At 37.3% G+C, this 22,169-nt stretch overlaps 1 long non-coding RNA gene across 1 annotated transcript in view; it reads left to right on the forward strand.

Annotated features, from left to right (window-relative positions):
* Nucleotides 1-22,169, forward strand: part of LINC01933 (long intergenic non-protein coding RNA 1933) — a 311,552-nt gene that overhangs the window by 15,232 nt on the left and 274,151 nt on the right. The window lies entirely within an intron of this gene.

Raw genomic sequence — 22,169 nt, forward strand, 5'->3', positions numbered from 1 at the left:
CAGTTAGTATTTATTAAGGGAAAGCTCCCTGTTTTTAAATGTGGGTGATTACTTTTAAAACAGTTAAACATCATCTGGATTAAAGATGTTTTATACCTTGTGGGCTACCAGTTTGTATTCTCTGTCTTAATTATTTTTCTCTACAAACTACTCAGATCCCTGGTTGTTAAGGTTTATTTATCTGATTTGCCATAAACCACTGTGTGTTGTTAATTTACATTAAATAATGTAATTTTTAAATTGAGAAATGTAACACTTTTATTTCATTATGGAAAATATAAAACATGCAAATTATGAACACAGAAAAATTATTGCCTTTCTACTCAGAAATAAACATGCTGTATATACTTTCAGTCTTTATTTCTCTATCATATACAGATCTTTATATATAGAACGTGTTACAAATGCAGATCCCTGAATCCCACTCTTGGGCTAATTCAGTATGTCTGGAAGTAGGCCTGGGAATCTGAATGTATAACATGTTTTGAGAAGATTATAATATATACAATTATAATTGAGATGCTCTTTTCTTAAAAATGGGCTTTAAAAACTTAATCCGTAATGAAATTTTTAAATGACATTTAGTATTCTATATAATTCTTGAAAAATTCATTTGAATATATCACAATATAAACAATGTTTTAAAAAACTGAAATGAACATCCCTCTAAATAGTTTTACATACCCATTTAATTAGGATAAATTTCTACAAGTAGAGTTGTTGGATTAAAGAATATGTACATTTTCAGGCTTCCAATATAAATGGGCAAATTGTCTTCCAGAAAGGATACAATTTTTTTTAAATTACATGTTTATTTTTTGTAGAGAGCATCAATTTTTCCATACTCCTGCTAAAACCTGGAATTCTCATCTGAAAGATCAATTTAGTAGCAGCAAATATCTTACTTTCATTTGAATTTACCTGCTGCATGCTAGAGAAGTTTAACATTTTATTTTTATTTTTTGCCATTTTTATTTCTGTTAATGATTGTCCATTTCTTATTCTTGTTATATTAAGAGTATACCTTTTTCTGTCATGTGTATCGAAACTGCTTTTTTCCAATTTAAAAATTTGCTTTCCAAAGCCTTTTTTATACTGAAGTTCTAATTCAGTATAGTCAAATCTGTAGATGTTTTTTCCTTTATGGATTCTGCATTTACTTATATGTAGGATTGTTGATACAATCTAAGTTAAAAAATTCATACATTTTCTTCTTCTTTTAAGAATTACATTTTAACTTTAATTTTTTAACCTATTGTAAATTAATTTTGGCATATAATACAAGATGTGGGTTGAAATTTTATTTGTTTTTTTTTCTGCTATTTAAATAGTCAAGTTTTCAATGTGTCTGAGTAAATTTTAACTTACTTTTTCCTAGAAAAGAAACTATTTCAATGAGATTTTTCAAATTTATTAGCCTGGAGTTATGCACAGTATTCTTTATAGTAAAAAAATTATTCTTATTTCCAATATTTTTAATTTGCTTCAGTCTCTTCCTCTGTTAGGCATTCTATAGGTATTTTTAAACATTTACATTTAATGGTTATTTGGGTAACTTAACAATTCATTAATTTTTTGCTTTTTGATTTGTTAATTTTTGCTTATCTTAGTTTATTATTTTTCTAATATTGTCTTCAATTCTTACATTTATTTCCACTTTTTCTTGTTGAGTAATGACACATAAAGTTTTAAATTTTAATATACATATAGCTTTGACCACCTCACATATATTTTGGAATGTAGTAGCCTCAAATTTTATTATTCTTGAAATAATTTGTAATAAGGATTTTGATTTCCACTTTCAAAAGTTATTCAGGAGAACATTAATAATTTCTAAGAAGTCGATATATTAAAACTTGAAACTTTAATTTCAAATTTTATTGCATTATGCTCTGAAACGTGATCTGTACATTTATTTTTGCAGCATATTGAGGTATTCATTGTGGCTTAATAAATGACAGATTTTTATGACTTTTATGAGTGCTGGAAGGAAGATATATTCCCTTATTGTAGAGTATCTAGTTTGTTAAATCAACATAATTAGTTTATGTTATTTGCATCCTTTTGTCTTAATTTTTGTTCACCTTTCCAGTCAAAGATTTAGATGTATTTAATTATCTCACTGCTAATCTTTTCTCCTCAATATCTATGTAACGTAATTTATATATTTCAAAGAAATTTCTTGGTTAATAAAAAACTAATATTTTTCATTATGCATTTTATCCTTTATATTATTATTTGTTTAATTAAAAAAAATTTTTTTTTGAGGTGTGATCTCACTCTGTCACCCGGTCTGGGGTGTAGTGGTGCAATTACAGCTCAATGCAGCCTTGACCTCCCCAGACTCAGGTGATTCTCCTACCTCAGCCTCCTGAGTAGCTGGGGCCACAGGTGGGTGCCACCATGCCTGGCTTATTTTTGTATTTTTGTAGTGCCAGGGTTCCACCAGGATGCCCAGGCTGGTCTCGAACTCCTGAACTCAAGTGATCCACCTGCCTTGCTTGGCCTCCTCAAGTGCTGGGATTATACCTGTAAGCCACTGTGCCCGGCTAAGGCTTCTTTTTAAAACTTTTTCTACTTTTCACATAATACTATTGTGAACCTGATTTCCTAATGTTTAGGTGGTCTGTCATGTCTTTCTCCATTTCTCTAACTTTTGCACTTTTTTTTTCCTTTGGTATGGGTTACTTGGTTTTAGAGATATCTCCTTTCAATAGTATGAAATTTAGTCATGTGTGTGTGTTGTGGGAAGTCACTCATTTTGAGAGTTTTTTTTTTTTTTGCCATGTAAGAGAGTTGTTAAACTGATTTATATTTATTTCTGAATGTCTATAACGGTCTTATTTATTTTTCTAATGTGAATTGTCTATTAGAAAGTAAATTTTCTTTTCTGAGAGTGAGACATAAAGGAAATTTTTGGGCAAATGAAATAAACTGAGTTTTTGGGATTAATAAATCAATTTGTAAATCTAAGGATTAATAAAAATAGAATGTTAATTTTCATGGTTTCTTGATATTTACTAAAATGGTTGAATTTTTTTCTGATCTTTTAAATGTATTTTTCTCTGTCACATGTTTTGGTTATTTTTTCCATAGGTAAAGAAAATGTATTAGTATTACTTTTAATTGACACATAATAATTGAACATATTTATGGAAAGCAGTGTGATATTTTGAACATGTATATACTATATAATGATCAAATCAGGGGAGTTAGCATATCTATCACTTCAAATATTTATCATTTCTTTGTGCTGGGAACATTCAAAATCTTCTATCTATTTGAGAATATACAATAAATTATTGTTGACTGTAGTCATCCCACAATGTTAGAGAACACTGGAACTTATTCCTCTTAGCTCACTGCAATTTTTGTCCATTAACCAACGTATCCCTGTTTCCCTGCACCCCTACTCTTCCCAGTCTTTAGTAACCACTATTCTACTTTCTACTTATGTGAAATCAACTTTGTTAGCTTCCACATATGAGTGAGAACATGTGGTTATTTATCTTTCTGTGACTGGCTTACTGCACTTAACATGTCTTCCAGACTCATCCATGTTGCCATGATGAATGAGAGTATTTCATTCTTTTAAAATAACTGAATAGTATTCCATTATGTATATATACCACATTTTCTTTGTCCATTCATCTGCTGATGGATGCACGTTGATTTCATATCTTGGTTATCGTGAATAGTTCTGAAATAAACATAGGAGGTCAGATATCTCCTCAACATACTGATTTCCTTTTCTCTGTATGTATACCTAGTGGTGGGATAACTGGATCATGTGGTAGTTCTATTTTTAGTTTTTAAAGCAGCCTCTGTTCTGTTTTCCTTAATGGGGGAAATTCCATAAGAATTTATATAACATAAGAATTTTCATTTTTACCAATAGTAAGAGTTTCTCTTTCTCTGCATCATCACCAGCATTTGTTATTTTTTGTCTCTTTGATAATGGTCATTCTAACTGGGGTGAGATGATATCTCACTGTGGTTTTGATTTTCATTTCCCCTCATGATTAATGATGTTAAGCATTTTATTTTTTATTTTTGTTTTTTTTTCCATAGCTTATTGGGGTACAGGTGGTGTTTGGTTACATTAGTAAGTTCTTTAGTGGTGATTTGTGAGATTTTGGTGCACCCATCACTCAAGCAGTATACACTGTACCGTATTTGTAGTCTTTTACCCTCGCCCCTCTCCTACCCTTCCCCCCATGTCCTGAAAGTCCATTGTGTCATTCTTATGCCTTTGCATTCTCATAGCTTAGCTCCCACATATCAGTGAGAACATATGATGTTTCGTTTTCCATTCTTGAGTTACTTCACTTAGAATAATAGTCTCCAATCTCATCCAGGTTGCTGGGAATGCCGTTAATTCATTCCTTTTTATGGCTGAGTAGTATTCCATTGTAGATATTCCACTCGTTGATTGGTGGGCATTTGGGTTGGTTCCACAATTTTGCAATTGCGAATTGTGCTTCTATAAACGTGAGTGTGCAAGTATTTTTTTCGTATAATGACTTCTTTTCCTCTGGGTAGATACCCAGTAGTGGGATTGCTAGATCAAATGGTAGTTCTATTTTTAGTTCTTTAAGGGGTCTCCACACTGTTTTCTGTAGTGGCTGTACTAGTTTACATTCCCACCAGCAGTGTAGAAGTGTTCCCTAATCGCTGCATCCACGCCAACATCTACTGTTTTTTGATTTTTTGATTATGGCCATTCTTGCAGGAGTAAGTGCTATTGCATTGTGGTTTTGATTTCCCTGATCTTTAGTGATGTTGAGCATTTTTTCATATGTTTGTTGGTCATTTGCATATCTTCTTCTGAGAATTGTTCATTCATGTCCTTAGCTCACTTTTTGATGGGATTGTTTTTTCTTGCTGATGGCGTTTGAGTTTGTTGTAGATTCGGGATATTAGTCTTTTGTCAGATGTATAGATTGTGAAGATTTTTCTCTCACTTTGTGGGTTGTCTGTTTACTCTGCTGACTGTTCCTTTTGCCATGCAAAAGCTCTTTAGTTCAATTAAGTTCCAGCTATTTATCATGGTTTTTATTGCATTTACTTTTGGGTTCTTGGTCATGAAATCCTTGCCTAAGCCAATGTTTAGAAGGGTTTTTCCAGTGTTATCTTCTAGAATTTTTACAGTTTCAAGTCTTAGATTTAAGTTCTTAATCTATCTTGAGTTGATTTTTGTATAAGGTGAGAGATGAGGATCCAGTTTCATCTCCCACATGTGGCTAGCCAATTATCCCAGCACCATTTGTTGAAAAGGGTGTCCTTTTCCCACATTTTTTTTTTTTTTTTGCTTTGTCAAAGATCAGTTGGCTGTAAGTATTTGGGTTTATTTCTGGTTTCTCATTCTGTTCCATTGCTCTACGTACCTATTTTTATACCAGTACCATGCTGTTTTGGTGACTACGGCCTTATAGTATAGTTTGAAATCAGGTAGTGTGATGCCTCCGGATTTGTGCTTTTTGCTTAGTCTTGCTTTGGCTATGTGAGCTCTTTTTTGGTTTCACATGAGTTTTAGAATTGTTTTTTTTTTTCCTAAGTCTGTGAAGAATGATGGTGGTATTTTGATGAGGATTGCATTGACTTTGTAGATTGCTTTTGGGAGTATGGTTATTTTCACAATGTTGATTCTACCTATCCATGATCATGGGACTGTGTTTCCATTTGTTTGTGTCATCTATGATTTCTTTCAGCAGTGTTTTGTAGTTTTCCTTGTAGAGGTCTTTTGCCTCCTTGGTTAGGTATATTCAGAAGTATTTTATTTTTATTTTTTGCAGTTATTGTAAAAGGAATTGAGTTCTTGAATTGATTCTCTGCTTGGTTGATGTTGGTATATAGAATAGCTACAGATTTATGTATATTAATCTTGTATCTGGAAACTTTGCTGAATTCTTTTATCTGTTCTAGGAGCTTTCTGGAGGAGTCTTTAGGGTTTTCAAGGTAAACAATTATATTGTCAGCAAACAGTGACAGTTTGACCTCCTCTTTACCAATTTGGATGCCCTATATTTCTTTCTCTTTTCTGATTGCTCTGGTTAGGAATTCCAGTACTATGTTGAAGAGGAATGGTGAAAAATGGGCATCATTTTCTTGTTTCAGTTCTCAGAAGGGATACTTTTAACTTTTCGCCATTCAGTATTATAATGGCTGTGGGTTTATCACAGATGGCTTTTATTATATTGAGGTATGTCCCTTGTATGCTGATTTTGCTGAGAGTTTTAATAGTAAAGCGATACTGGATTTTGTTGAATGCTTTTTCTGCATCTATTGGTATGATCGTGTAATTTTTGTTTTTAATCCTGTTTATGTGGTGTATCACTTTTATTGACTCACATATGTTAAACCATCCCTGCATCCCTGGTATAAAACCCACTTGATCATGGTGAATTATCTTTTTGATATGTTGTTGGATTTGTTTAGCAGGTATTTTGTTAAGGATTTTAGCATCTATGTTAATCAGGGATATTGGTCTGTAGTTTTCTTTTTTGGTTATGTCCTTTCCTGGTTTTGTTATTAGGGTGATGCTGGCTTCATAGAATGAATTTGGGTGGGTTCCCTCTTTCTCTGTCTTGTGGAATAGTGTCAAAAGGATTGGTAAAAACTCTTCTTTGAATGTCTGGTAGAATTCTGCGGTGAATCCGTCTGGTCCTGGCCTTTTGTTTGTTGGTAATTTTTAAATTACCCTTTCAATCTTGCTGCTTGTTATTGGTCTGTTCAGGGTATCTAATTCTTCCTGATTTAAGCTAGGAGGGTTGTATTTTTCCAGAAATTCATCCATCTCATCTAGGTTTTCTAGTTTATGTGCATAAAGCTGTTCATAGTAGCTTTGAATGATCTTTTGTATTTCTGTGATATCAGTTGTAATATCTCCTGTTTTGTTTCTTACTGCAGTTATTTGGATTTTCTCTCTTCTTGGATAATCTTGCTAATGGTCTATCAATTTTATTTATCTTTTCAAAAAATTAACTTTTGGTTTTATTTATATTTTGTATTTTTTTGTTTCAGTTTCATTTAGTGTTGCTCTGATCTTGGTTATTTTCTTTCTTCTGCTGGGTTTGGGTTTGGGTTTGGTTTGTTCTTGTTTCTCTAGTTCCTTGAGGTGTGACCTTAGAATGTCAGTTTGTGCTTTTTCAGTCTTTTTGAAGTAGGCATTTAGGGCTATGAACTTTCCTCTTAGCACTGCCTTTGCTGTATCCTAGAGATTTTGATAGATTGTGTCACTATTGTCATTCAGTTCAAAGAATTTTTAAATTTCCATCTTGATTTCGCTTTTGACCCAATGCTAACTCAGGAACAGGTTATTCAATTTCCATGTATTTGCATGGTTTTGAAGATTCCTTTTGGAGTCGATTTCCAGTTTGATTCCACTATGGTCTGAGAGAGTGCTTGATATAATTTCGATTTTCTTAAATTTATTGAGATTCATTATGTGGCCCATCATATGGTCTGTCTTGGAGACAGTTCCATGCACTGTTGAACAGAATGTGCATTCTGTGGTTGTTGGATGAAATGTCCTGTATATATCCGTTAAGTCTATTTGTTCCAAGGTATAGTTTAAATCCATTATTTCTTTGTTGACTTTCTGCCTTGATGACCTGTCTAGTGCTGTCAGTGGAGTACTGAAGTCCCCCACTATTATTGTTTGCTATCCATCTCATTTCTTAGGTCTATTCGTAATCGTTTTATAAATTTGGGAGCTCCATTGTTAGGTGCATATATGTTTAGGATTGTGTTATTTTCCTATTGGACAAGGCCTTTTACCATTATATAATGTCCCTCTTTGTCTTTTTTAACTGCTGTTGCTTTAAAGTTTGTTTTGTCTGATATAAGAATAGCTTACCCCTGCTCACTTTTGGTGTCCATTTTCATGAAATGCCTTTTTCTACCCCTTTACTTTATGTGAGTCCTTATGTGTTAGGTGAGCCTGCTGAAGGCAGCAGATAGTTGTTTGGTGAGTTCTTACCCATTCAGTGGTTCTGTGTCTTTTAAGTGGAGGATTTAGGCAATTTACATTCAATGTTAGCATTGAAATGTAAGGTACCATTCCATTCATCGTGCTATTTGTTGCGTGTGTGCCTTGGTTTTTTGTTTTTGCTTTTTAAATTGTATTTTCGTATTATAAGTCCTGTGAGATTTATACTTTAAAGAAGTTTAGAGTTTCTGCTTTGATGCATTTCCAGGATTTGTTTCAACATTTAGAGCTCCTTTTGTCAGTTCTTGTAGTTGTGGCTTGGTAGTGGCGAATTCTCTCAGCATTTGTTTGTCTGAAAAAGACTATCTTTCCTTCACATATGATACTAGTTTCACTGGGTACAACATTCTTGACTGATAATTGTTTTGTTTGAGGAGGCTGAAGATAGGGCCCCAATCCCTTCTAGTTTGTAGGGCTTCTGCTAAGAAATCTGTTGTTAATCTGATAAGTTTTCCTTTATAATTAACTGGTGCTTCTGTCTCACAGCTCTTAAGATTCTTTCCTTTGTCTTACCTTTAGATAACCTGATGACAGTGCTTCTTGTATTTGGATGTCTAGTTCTCTATCAAGGCTGGGGAAGTTTTCCTGAATTATTCCCTCAAATATGTTTTTCCAAACTTTTAGATTTATCTTCTTCCTCAGGAGCACCTATTATTCTTAGGTTTGGTTGTTTTACATAATCCCAGACTTCTGGGAAGCTTTGTTTATATTTTCTTATTCTTTTCCTTTGTTGGATTGGGTTAATTCAAAGACCTTGTCTTGGAGCTCTGAATTTCTTTCTTCTACTTGTTCAATTCTATTGCTGAGACTTTCCAGAGCATTTTCTTTTTTTTAAATTTTATTTATTTATTTATTTTTATTTTTATTATTATACTTTAAGTTTTAGGGTACATGTGCACAATGTGCAGGTTTGTTACATATGTATACATGTGCCATGTTGGTGTGCTGCACCCATTAACTCGTCATTTAGCATTAGGTATATCACCTAATGCTATCCCTCCCCCCTCCCCCCACCCACAACAGTCCCCAGTGTGTGATGTTCCCCTTCCTGTGTCCACGTGTTCTCACTGTTCAGTTCCCACCTATGAGTGACAACATGCGGTGTTTGGTTTTTCGTCCTTGCGATAGTTTGCTGAGAATGATGGTTTCCAGCTTCATCCATGTCCCTACAAAGGACATGAACTCATCCTTTTTTATGGCTGCATAGTATTCCGTGGTGTATATGTGCCACATTTTCTTAATCCAGTCTATCATTGTTGGACATTTGGGGTGGTTCTAAGTCTTTGCTATTGTGAATAATGCCGCAATAAACATACATGTGCATGTGTCTTTATAGCAGCATGATTTATAATCCTTTGGGTATATACCCAGCAATGGGATGGCTGGGTCAAATGGTATTCCTAGTTCTAGATCCCTGAGGAATCGCCACACCGACTTCCACAATGGTTGAACTAGTTTACAGTCCCACCAACAGTGTAAAAGTGTTCCTATTTCTCCACTTCCTCTCCAGCACCTGTTGTTTCCTGACTTTTTAATGATCATCGTTCTAACTGGCGTGAGATGGTTATCTCATTGTGGTTTTGATTTGCATTTCTCTGATGGCCAGTGATGATGAGCATTTTTTCATGTGTTTTTTGGCTGCATAAATGTCTTCTTTTGAGAAGTGTCTGTTCATGTCCTTCACCCACTTTTTGATGGGGCTGTTTGTTTTTTTCTTGTAAATTTGTTTGAGTTCATTGTAGATTCTGGATATTAGCCCTTTGTCAGATAAGTAGGTTGCAAAAATTTTCTCCCATTCCATAGGTTGCCTGTTCACTCTGACAGTGGTTTCTTTTGCTGTGCAGAAGCTCTTTAGTTTAATTAGATCCCATTTGTCAATTTTGACTTTTGTTGCCATTGCTTTTGGTGTTTTAGACATGAAGTCCTTGCCCATGCCTATGTCCTGAATGGTATTGCCTAGGTTTTCTTCTAGGGTTTTTATGGTTTAGGTCTAACATGTAAGTCTTTAATCCATCGAGCATTTTCCTTTTCTATAAGTGTGTCCAGTGTTTCCTGAAGTTTTGATTGTTTTTTCTTTATGCTATTTCCTTGAATATTTCTCCTTTCACTTCTCATATCATATTTTGAATTTCCTTACATTGAGCTTTACCTTTCTCTGGTGCCTCCCTGATTAGCTTAATAACTAACCTCCTGAATTCTTTTTCAGGTAAATCAAGGGGTTTCTTCTTGGTTTGGATCCATTGCTGGTGAGCTAGTGTGATTATGGGGAGCTGTTAAAGAGCCTTGTTTTGTCATATTACCAGAGGTGGTTTTCTGGTTCCTTCTCATTTGGGTAGGCTTTGTCAGAGGGAAGGTTTAGGGTTCAGGCTGTTGTTCAGATTCTTTTTTCCCACAGGGTATTCCCTTGATGTAGTGCTCCTCCTTTTTCCTATGGATGTGGCTTCCTGAGAGCCAAGCTACAGTGATTGTTATCTCTCTTTCAGGTCTAGTCACCCAGCAGGTCTACCAGGCTCTGGGCTGGTACAGCAGAGGGGTTGTCTGCACAGAGTCCTGTGATGTGAACTTCCATGGGTCTCTCAGCCATGGATACCAGCACCTGTTCTGGTGGAGGTGATGGGGTGCAATGGACTCTGTGAGGTTTCTTAGCTTTGGTGGTTTAATGTTCTATTTTTTGCCAATTGGCCTCCTGCTGGGAGGTGGCACTTTCCAGAGAGCATCAGCTGTGGTAGTTTGGAGAAAAACTGGTGGTGGGCAGGGGCCTAGAACTCTCAAGATAATATGCCCTTTGTCTTTTTTTTTTTTTTTTTTTTTTTTTTTTTTTTTTTTTTTGAGACAGAGTCTCACTCTGTCACCTAGGCTAGAGTGTAGTGCCATCTTAGCTCACTGCAACCTCTGTCTCCTCGGTTCAAGCGATTCTCCTGCCTCAGCCTCCCGAGTAGCTGGGATTACAGGTGTCTGCCACCACACCTGGCTAATTTTTGTATTTTTAGTAGAGATGGGGTTTTGCCATGTTGGCCAGGCTGGTCTCCAACTCCTGACCTCAGGTGATCCACCCACCTCACCTTCTCAAAGTGCTGGGATTACAAGTGTAAGCCACTGTGCCCCGCACAAGAGTGTATGCCCTTTGTCTTCAACTACCAGGGTGGGTAGGGATGGACCATCAGGTGGCACAGGGATAGGCATGTCTGGGCTCACTTTCCTTGGGTGGGTCTTGCTGTGGTTGCTGTGGGGGGTGGGGGTGAGGTTCCTAGGTCAACGGAATTATGTTCCTAGGAGTATTATGGCTGCCTCTGCTGAGTCATGCAGCCTTTCAGGGAAATGGGGGAAAGCTAGCAGTCACAGGCCTCATCCAGGTGCCACACAATCTGAAGGGTCAGTCTCACTCCCACCATGGTCCCCCTAACAGCACCAAGTCTGTTTCTAGGCAGTGGGCAAGCTGGGCTGAGAGCTTGCCCCAGGCTACCCACCTCCCAGCTGTGAAAGAAAAGGGCTTTAGTTCTTCCCCCCACTTCCCACACCCCCTCACCCCCTGCCCCACACCTGTGGAGTCTGCACGCTGGATTCATGCCCTCCCCCGAGTTCTGGCCAGGAGGCTTCTCCCCAGGTTCAAATTATTACAAAGTTGAACTGGAGACTTCCTTCTCCTTGTGGTGTTTTCCCTGCGCCTCTGGTCACCCTCCCAAAGGATTCCTGTGGTGTCAGGCAGGAATGTCCTGCTTAGGGACCCAGAGAGCTCCTAGGGCACTTTCTACTGCTTCCTCTACCACCATATTTTGCTCGACTCTCTAAATTGACTCAGCTCTAGGTAAGGTCAGAAACTTCTCCAGCAAACTAGACCTTCATATTCCCCTGTGGGGGTGTGTGTGTGTTCAGGGGCAGACAATCTCCATTTCCCACTTCTGCAGTTTGGGCACTCACACTCCCCAGGTCCTGCAGGAGCAATGTATTTCCTTCAGGGTCCTCTCGGGATTCCTGGTTTGTTCCTGTAGTCATTCTAGAGCTAAAATTCACAATGTGAACCTCTGCATGCTGCTCTGTCCATCTGAGTTGGAGCTGTAATGTAATCCTTCCTCCCATCCCCATGATGGTCCACAAAAGCCAAAGCATTTAAAAAGTATACTTCATATACATATTTTTACATGTCTTCTTTTGAGAAATATCTATTCAGAAGATTTATCCATTTTAAAATCAGATTTTTTTTCCTGCTGTTGTCTTGTTTGAATTTCTTGTATATTCTGGATATTAATTCTTTGTTGGATAGCTAGCAAATATTTTCTCCCATTCTATAAATTGTCTCTTTATTCTGTTGATTGTTTCCTTTGCTGTGCAGAGGCTTTTTAGTTTGATACAATCCCACTTGTTTATTTTTGCTTTTGTTGCTTGTACTTTTGAGCTCTTCTCCATAAAACCTCTACCCAGACAAATGTCCTGAAGCATTTCCCCTATGTTTTCTTCCTGGAATTTTATAGTTTCAGGTCTTATATTTAAGTCTTCAGTCCATTTTGAGTTGATTTTTGTATATGGTGAGAGAGGGATCTAGTTTCATTTTTGTATATGGATATCCAGTTTTCCTAGCACCATTTATTTAAGAGACTTTTCTTTCCCCTTTATGTCCTTGGCATCTTGTCAAAAATCAATTAGCTATAAATATGCAGATTAATTTATATTTTCTCTGTTTCATAGGTCTATGTGTCTGTTATTTTGTTTACTATAGCTTTGTAGTACATTTTGAAGTTAGATAGTGTGATGCCTCCAGCGTTGATCTTTTTGCTCAGGATTGCTTTGGCTCTTTGAGGTCTTTTGTGTTCCCATGCAAATTTTAGGATTTTTTTTTCTATTTCTATGAAGAAGGTAATTTTTTTTTTTTCGAGAGAGTTGGTCTTGCTCTGTTGCCCAGGTTGGAGTACAGTGGCACAATCATATTTCACTACAGCCTTGACCTCCTAGGCTCAAATGATGCTCCCACTTAATCCTCCTGAGTAGCTGGGATTACAGGCATGCACCACACTGCCCAGCTAATTTTTGCTGTGTTGCCCAGGTCTTGCTATGTTGTCTAAGTTGGTCTCAAACTCCTGGGCTCAAGTGATCCTCCTGCCTCAGCCTCCTAAAGTGCTGGGAGTATAGACGTAAGTCACTGTACCCAGCCTGTCATTAGTATTTTGATAGGGATTGCATTGAATCTGTAGATTGCTTTGGGTAGTATGGCCATTTTAATAATATTAATTCTTCTAATCTATGAACATGAGATGTCTTTCAATTTTTTTTGTTCCCTTCAATTTCTTTTTATCAGTATTCTGTAGTTTTCTTTGTAGAAATCCTTCATCTCCTTGTTAAATTTATTCCTAGGTATTTTTTATGGTAGCTATTTTAAATGGGATGGACTTTTGATTTCTTTTTCAACTAGTTTGTTATTGGTGCACAGAAATGCTAGTAAATTTTGTACCTTGATTTTATATCCTGCAACTTTACAGGTTTATCAGTTCTAAGAGTTGTTTTTGGCAGAATCTTTAGGTTTTTCTACATATAAGACCAAGAAAAAGACTTCCTCTTTTCCAATTCGAATATTCTTTATTTCTTTCTCTTGCCTAATTGCTCTGGATAGGATTTTCAGTATCATATTGAATAACAGTGGTGAAAATGGAAAAGTGGAAAAAATATTTTTGTATTGTTCCAGTTCTTGGAGTGTTTTCAACTTTTACCCATTCAGTATAGTGTTAGCTTTGGATTTGCTGTACTGAGGTACATTTCTTCTATAGCTAGTTTGTTGCAAGTTTTTAATCATGAAGGGATGTTGAGTTTTATTAAAACTGTCTTTTTTTTACATTCATATAGATTATCATAAGGTTTTTGTCCTTCATTCTATTGATGTGATTTATCATGTTTTTTGATTTACATATGTTTAGTTATCCTTGCTTCCCTGGATATATCCCACTTGATCATGGTGTGTAATCTTTTTAATGTTTTGTTGGATTTGGTTTGCTAATATTTTGTTGATATTTTTGTGTCTATGTTTATCATAAATATTGACCTGTAATTTTATTTTTTGTTGCCTCCTTGTCTGGTTTTGGTATCTGAGTGTTCCTGGCCTTGTAGAATGACTTTTGAAAAATTTCTTCCCCCCGCCTGTAATCTCAGCACTTTGGGAGGCTGAGATGGGCAGATCACAAGGTCACAAGTTTGAGAACAGCCTGGCCAATATGGTGAAACCCTGTCTCTACTAAAAATACAAAAATCGGCAGGGTGTGGTGTTGGGCACCTGTAATCCCAGCTACTTGGGAGGCTGAGGCAGGAGAATCACTTGAACCCGGGAGGTGGAGGTTGCAGTGAGCCGAGATCATGCCACTGCACTCAAGCCTGGGCAACAGAGTGAGACACGATCTTGAAAAAAAAGAAAAATGTATTCCCCCTAATTTTATGGGAATAGTTTGAGAAATCTTGGTGTTAGTTCTTAATTAAAAGTTTGGTAGAATTCAGCAGTGAAGTCATCAATCCTGGGCTTTGTTTTTCTTGGGAGACGTTTTATTACTGATTCAATCACATTACTCATGATTAGCTGTTTAGGTTTTCTCTTTTTTCCTGGTTCAATCTTGGTAAGTTGTATAGGTCCAGAATTTTTTCCATTTTTCTCTAGGTTTTTCAATTTTTTGGCATTTATTTCTGTATCAGTTTTAATGTCTCCTTTTTTTTGTATCTTATTTCATTTATTTGGGTATTCTCTCTTATATCTTTTTAGTTACTTTAGCTAATGGTTTGTTGATTTTGTTTATCTTTTTAAAAATCAATGTTTTGGGTGGAGCCAAGATGGCCAAATAGGAACAGCTCCAGTCTACAGCCCCCAGCATGAGTGACGCAGAAGACGGGTGATTTCTGCATTTCCAACTGAGGTACCGGGTTCATTTCACTGGGGAGTGCCAGACAGTGGGTGCAGGACAGTGGGTGCAGCACACCCTGTGTGAGCTGAAGCAGGGCGAGGCATCGCCTCACCCGGGAAGCACAAGGGGTCAGAGAATTCCCTTTCCTAGTCAAAGAAAAGGGTTATAGATGGCACCTGGAAAATTGGGTCACTCCCACCCTAATACTGTGCTTTTCCAATGGACTCAACAAATGGCACACCAGGAGATTATATCCCACACCTGGCTCGGAGGGTCCTATGCCCACAGAGCCTTGCTCCTTGCTAGCGCAGCAGTCTGAGATCAAACTGCAAGGCGGCAGCGAGGCTGGGGGAGGGGACGCCCACCATTGCCCAGGCTTGAGTCGGTAAACAAAGTGGTCGGGAAGCTTGAACTGGGTGGAGCCCACCACAGCTCAAGAAGGCCTGCCTGCCTCTGTAGGCTCCACCTCTGGGGGCAGGGCACAGACAAACAAAAGACAGCAGTAACCTCTGCAGACTTAAATGTTTCTGTCTGAAAGCTTTGAAGGGAATAGTGGTTCTCCCAGCACGCAGCTTGAGATCTGAGAACGGGCAGACTACATCCTCAAGTGGGTCCCTAACCCCTGAGTAGCCTAACTGGGAGGCACCCCCCAGTAGGGGCGGACTGACACCTCACATGGCTGGGTACTCCTCTGAGACAAAACTTCCAGAGGAATGATCAGGCAGCAGCATTTGTGATTCACCAATATCTGCTGTTCTGCAGCCACCGCTGCTGATATCCAGGCAAACAGGGTCTGGAGTGGACCTCCAGCAAACTCCAACAGACCTGCAACTGAGGGTACTGACTGTTAGAAGGAAAACTAACAAACAGAAAGGACATCTACACCAAAAACCCATCTGTACGTCACCATCATCAAAGACCAAAGGTAGATAAAACCACAAAGATGGGGAAAAAAGAGAGCAGAAAAACTGGAAACTCTAAAAATCAGAGCGCCTCTCCTCCTCCAAAGGAACCCAGCTCCTCACCAGCAATGGAACAAAGCTGGATGGAGAATGACTTTGACAAGATGAGAGAAGAAGTCTTCAGAAGATCAAACTACTATGAGCTAAAGGAGGAAGTTCGAACCAATGGCAAGACGTTAAAAATCTTGAAAAAAAATTAGATGAATGGATAACTAGAATAACCAAGCAGAGTCCTTAAAGGACCTGATGGAGCCGAAAACCACAGCATGAGAACTACGTGATGAATGCACAAGCCTCAGTAGCTGATGCAATCAACTGGAAGAAAGGGTATCAGCGATGGAAGACAAAATGAATGAAATGAAGCGAGAAGAGAAGTTTAGAGAAAAAAGAATAAAAAGAAATGAACAAAGCCTCTAAGAAATATGGGATTATGTGAAAAGACCAAATCTACGTCTGACTGGTGTACCTGAAAGTGACGGGGAGAATGGAACCAAGTTGGAAAACACTCTGCAGGATATTATCTGGGAGAACTTCCCCAATCTAGCAAGGCAGGCCAACATTCAAATTCAGGAAATACGGAGAATGCCACAAAGATATTCCTCGAGAAGAGCAACTCCAAGACACATAATTGTCAGATTCACCAAAGTGGAAATGAAGGAAAAAATGTTAAGGGCAGCCAGAGAGAAAGGTCAGGTTACCCACAAAGGGAAGCCCATCGGACTAACAGCTGATCTCTCAGCAGAAACTCTACAAGCCAGGAGAGTGTGGGCTAATATTCAACATTCTTAAAGAAAAGAATTTTCAACCCAGAATTTCGTATGTAGCCAAATTAAGCTTCATAAGTGAAGGAGAAATAAAATACTTTACAGACAAGCAAATGCTGAGAGATTTTGTCACCACCAGGCCTGCCCTAAAAGAGCTCCTGAAGGAAGCACTAAACATGGAAAGGAACAACTGGTACCAGCCACTGCAAAAACATGCCAAATTGTAAAGACCATCGAGGCTAGGAAGAAACTGCATCAACTAATGAGCAAAATAACCAGCTAACATCATAATGACAGGATCAAATTCAAACATAACAATATTAAACTTAAATGTAAATGGGCTAAGTGCTCCAATTAAAAGACACAGACTGGCAAATTGGATAAAGAGTGAAGACCCATCAGTATGCTGTATTCAGGAAACCCATCTCACATGCAGAGACACACATAAGCTCAAAATAAAGGGATGGAGGAAGATCTACCAAGCCAATGGAAAACAAAAAAAGGCAGGGGTTGCAATCCTAGTCTCTGATAAAACAGACTTTAAACCAACAAAGATCAAAAGAGACAAAGAAGGCCATTACATAATGGTAAAGGGATCAATTCAACAAGAAGAGCTAACTATCCTAAATATATATACACCCAATACATGAGCACCCAGATTCATAAGCAAGTCCTTAGTGACCTACAAAGAGACTTAGACTCCCACACAATAATAATGGGAGACTTTAACACCCCACTGTCAACATTAGACAGATCAGTGAGACAGAAAGTTAACAAGGATATTCAGGAATTGAACTCAGCTCTGCACCAAGCGGACCTAATAGACATCTACAGAACTCTCCATCCCAAATCAACAGAATATACATTTTTTTCAGCACCACACCACACTTATCCAAAAATTGACCACATAGTTGGAAGTAAAGCACTCCTCAGCAAATGTAAAAGAACAGAAATTATAACAAACTGTCTCTCAGACCACAGTACAATCAAACTAGAACTCAGGATTAAGAAACTCACTCAAAACTGCTCAACTACATGGAAACTGAACAACCTGCCCCTGAATGACTACTGGCTACATAACGAAATGAAGGCAGAAATAAAGAGGTTCTTTGAAACCAGCGAGAACAAAGACACAACATACCAGAATCTCTGGGACACATTCAAAGCAGTGTGTAGAGGGAAATTTACAGCACTAAATGCCCACAAGAGAAAGGAGGAAAGATCTAAAATTGCCACCCTAACATCACAATTAAAAGATCTAGAGAAGCAAGAGCAAACACATTCAAAAGCTAGCAGAAGGCAAGAATAACTAAAATCAGAGCAGAACTGAAGGAAATAGAGACACAAAATTCCCTTCAAAAAATTAATGAATCCAGGAGCTGGTGTTTTGAAAAGATCAACAGAATTGATAGACTGCTAGCAAGACTATTAAAGTAGAAAAGAGAGAAGAATCAAATAGACACAATAAAAAATGATAAAGGGCATATCACCACCGATCCCACAGAAATGCAAACTACCATCAGAGAATACTATAAACACCTCTATGCAAATAAACTAGAAAATCTAGAAGAAATGGATAAATTCCTCGACACATACACCCTCCCAAGACTAAACCAGCAAGAAGTTGAATCCCTGAATAGAACAATTACAAGTGCTGAAATTAAGGCAATAATTAATAGCTTACCAACCAAAAAAAGTCCAGGACCAGATGGATTCACAGCCGAATTCTACCAGAGGTACAAGGAGGAGCTGGTACCATTCCTTCTGAAACTATTCCAATCAATAGAAAAAGAGGGAATCCTCCCTAACTCATTTTATGAGGCCAGGATCATCCTGATACCAAAGCCTGGCAGAGACACAACAACAAAAAAAGAATTTTAGACCAATATCCTTGATGAACATTGATGCAAAAATCCTCAATAAAATACTGGCAAACCGAATCCAGCAGCACATCAAAAAGCTTATCCACCATGATCAAGTGGGCTTCATCCCTGGGATGCAAGTCTGGTTCAACATATGAAAATCAATAAACGTAATCCAGCATATAAACAGAACCAAAGACAAAAACCACATGATTATCTCAATAGATGTAGAAAAGGCCTTTGACAAAATTCAACAACGCTTCATGCTAAAAACTCTCAATAAATTCAGTATTGATGGGATGTATCTCAAAATAATAAGAGCTGTCTATGACAAACCCACAGCCAATATCATACTGAATGGACAAAAACTGGAAGCATTCCCTTTGAAAACTGGCACAAGACAGGGATGCGCTCTCTCACCACTCCTATTCAACATAGTGTTGGAAGTTCTGGCCAGGGCAGTCAGGCAGGAGAAGGATATAAAGGGCATTCAATTAGGAAAAGAGGAAGTCAAATTGTCCCTGTTTGCAGATGACATGATTGCATATTTAGAAAACCCCATCGTCTCAGCCCAAAATCTCCTTAAGCTGATAAGCAACTTCAGCAAAGTCTCAGGATACAAAATCAATGTGAAAAAATCACAAACATTCTTATACACCAATAATAGACAAACAGCCAAATCATGAGCGAACTCCCATTCACAATTTCTTCAAAGAGAATAAAATACCTGGGAATCCAACTTACAAGGGATGTGAAGGACCGCTTCAAGAAGAACTACAATCCACTGCTCAACAAAATAAAAGAGGATACAAACAAATGGAAGAACATTCCATGCTCATGGGTAGGAAGAATCAATATCGTGAAAATGGCCATACTGCCCAAGGTAACTTATAGATTCAATGCCATCCCCATCAAGCTACCAATGACTTTCTTCACAGAATTGGAAAAAACTACTTTAAAGTTCATATGGAACCAAAAAGGAGCCTGCATTGCCAAGTCAATCCTAAGGCAAAAGAACAAAGCTGGAGGCATCACGCTACCTGACTTCAAACTATACTACAAGGCTACAGTAACCAAAATAGCATGGTACTGGTACCAAACCTAGATATAGACCAATGGAACAGAACAGATCCCTCAGAAATAATGCCACATATCTACAACTATCTGGTCTTTGACAAACCTGAGAAAAACAAGCAATGGGGAAAGGATTCCCTATTTAATAAATGGTGCTGGGAAAACTGGCTAGCCATATGTAGAAAGCTGAAACTGGATCCCTTCCTTACACCTTATACAAAAATTGATTGAAGATGGATTAAAGACTTACATGTTAGACCTAAAACCATAAAAACCCTAGAAGAAAACCTAGGCAATACCATTCAGGACATAAGCATGGGCAAGGACTTCATGTCTAAAACACCAAAAGCAATGGCAACAAAAGTCAAAATTGACAGATGGGATCTAATTAAACTAAAGAGCTTCTGCACAGCAAAAGAAACCACCATCGGAGTGAACAGGCAACCTATAGAATGGGAGAAAATTTTTGCAACCTACTCATCTGACAAAGGGCTAATATCCAGAATCTACAATGAACTCAAACAAATTTACAAGAAAAAAACAACCCCATCAAAAAGTGGGTGAAGGATATGAACAGACACTTCTCAAAAGAAGACATTTATGCAGCCAAAAAGCACATGAAAAAATGCTTATCATCACTGGCCATCAGAGAAATGCAAATCAAAACCACAGTGAGATACCATCTCACACCAGTTAGAATGACGATCATTAAAAAGTCAGGAAACAACAGGTGCTGGAGAGGAAGTGGAGAAATAGGAACACTTTTACACTGTTGGTGGGACTGTAAACTAGTTCAACCATTGTGGAAGTCAGTGTGGTGATTCCTCAGGGATCTAGAACTAGGAATACCATTTGACCCAGCCATCCCATTACTGGGTATATACCCAAAGGATTATAAATCATGCTGCTATAAAGACACATGCACACGTATGTTTATTGCGGCATTATTCACAATAGCAAAGACTTAGAACCACCCCAAATGTCCAACAATGATAGACTGGATTAAGAAAATGTGGCACATATACACCATGGAATACTATGCAGCCATAAAAAAGGATGAGTTCATGTCCTTTGTAGGGACGTGGATGATGCTGGAAACCATCATTCTCAGCAAACTATCGCAAGGACGAAAACCCAAACGCCGCATATTGTCACTCATAGGTGGGAATTGAACAATGAGAACACATGGACACAGGAAGGGGAACATCACACACCGGGGACTGTTGTGGGGTGGGGGGAGGGGGGAGGGATAGCATTAGGTGATATACCTAATGCTAAATGACGAGTTAATGGGTGCAGCACACCAACATGGCACATGTATGCATATGTAACAAACCTGCATGTTGTGCACATATACCCTAAAACTTAAAGTATAATCATAATAAAATTAAAAAAGAAATCAATGTTTTCTTGATCTTTTGTATGTTTTAGACTGTACTTTGTTAATTTCTGCTCTGATCTTTGTTATTTCTTTCCTTCTGCTAATTTGGGTTTGTCTTGCCTTTCTACTTCCTTCAGTTGCATCATTAGGTTTATTTAAAGTCTTTCTACTGTTTTGGGATAGGTGTTTATTGCTATAAAATATCCTTTTAGAACTGATTTTGCTCTATCCCATAGGTGTTGCTATGGTTGTGTTTCCAGTTTCATTTGTCTCAAGAAATTTTAAAATTTTCTTCTTGATTTCTTCACTGACCCATTGGTCATTCAGGAGCATATTGTTTAATTTACATGTATTTGTACAATTTCCAAAGATTCTCTTTTTTATTGATGTCTAGTTTAATTTCATTGTGGTTGAAAAGATATTTTATGTAATTTTGAATTTTTTAAAAGTAAAGGAATTAAAAAGGGTGGCTACTCCTTAGGCAGAGCAGCCTAATTTTGATTTTTAAAATTTGTTGAGACCTGTTTTATGCCCTAACATATGGCCTATCCTGGAGAATGTTCTGTGTGCTGACGAGAAGAATGGTATTCTGCAGTTGTTTGATGAAATGTCCTGTAAATGTTTGTTAGGTCCTTTCGATCTATAATGCAGTTTAAATCTGATGTTTCTTTGTAGATTTTCTGGATAGAAACAAACTTCTAGTGCTGAGGGTGGAGTGTTGACGTCCCTAACTATTATTAAATTGAAGTCTATCTCTCCCTTTAGATTTAATAATATTTGCTTTCTATAGCTGGATGCTCTGGAGCTGGGTGCACATATGTTTATAGTCATTATATTCTCTTGTCAAAGTGATCCTTTTATCATTATGTAATACCTTCGTTGTCTCTTTTTATAATTTTTGAATTAATGTCTATTTTATCTGATGTAAGTATAGCTACTCTTGTTTGTTTATGCTTTCCATTTGCATGAAATATCTTTTCCCATTCCTTCACTTTTAGTCTACTCTGTCTTTATAAATGCAGAGTTTCTTGTAGGCAGCACGTAATCAGGTTTTGTTTTTATAATTCATTCAAGCAATCTATATCTTTTAATTGGAGACTTAAGCTGCTTATACTCAAGGTTATTATTGATATGTTAGGACTTACTACTGTCAGTTTGTTAATTGTCTTTTAGTTGTTTTATATATCCTTTGTTCCTTTCTTTCTCTCTTATTATTTATCTTTGTGGTTTAATGATTTTTTATAGGGATAAGATTTGATTTCTT

This window comes from Homo sapiens, chromosome 5 (assembly GCF_000001405.40).
Source record: "Homo sapiens chromosome 5, GRCh38.p14 Primary Assembly".
Lineage (NCBI taxonomy): Eukaryota > Metazoa > Chordata > Mammalia > Primates > Hominidae > Homo > Homo sapiens.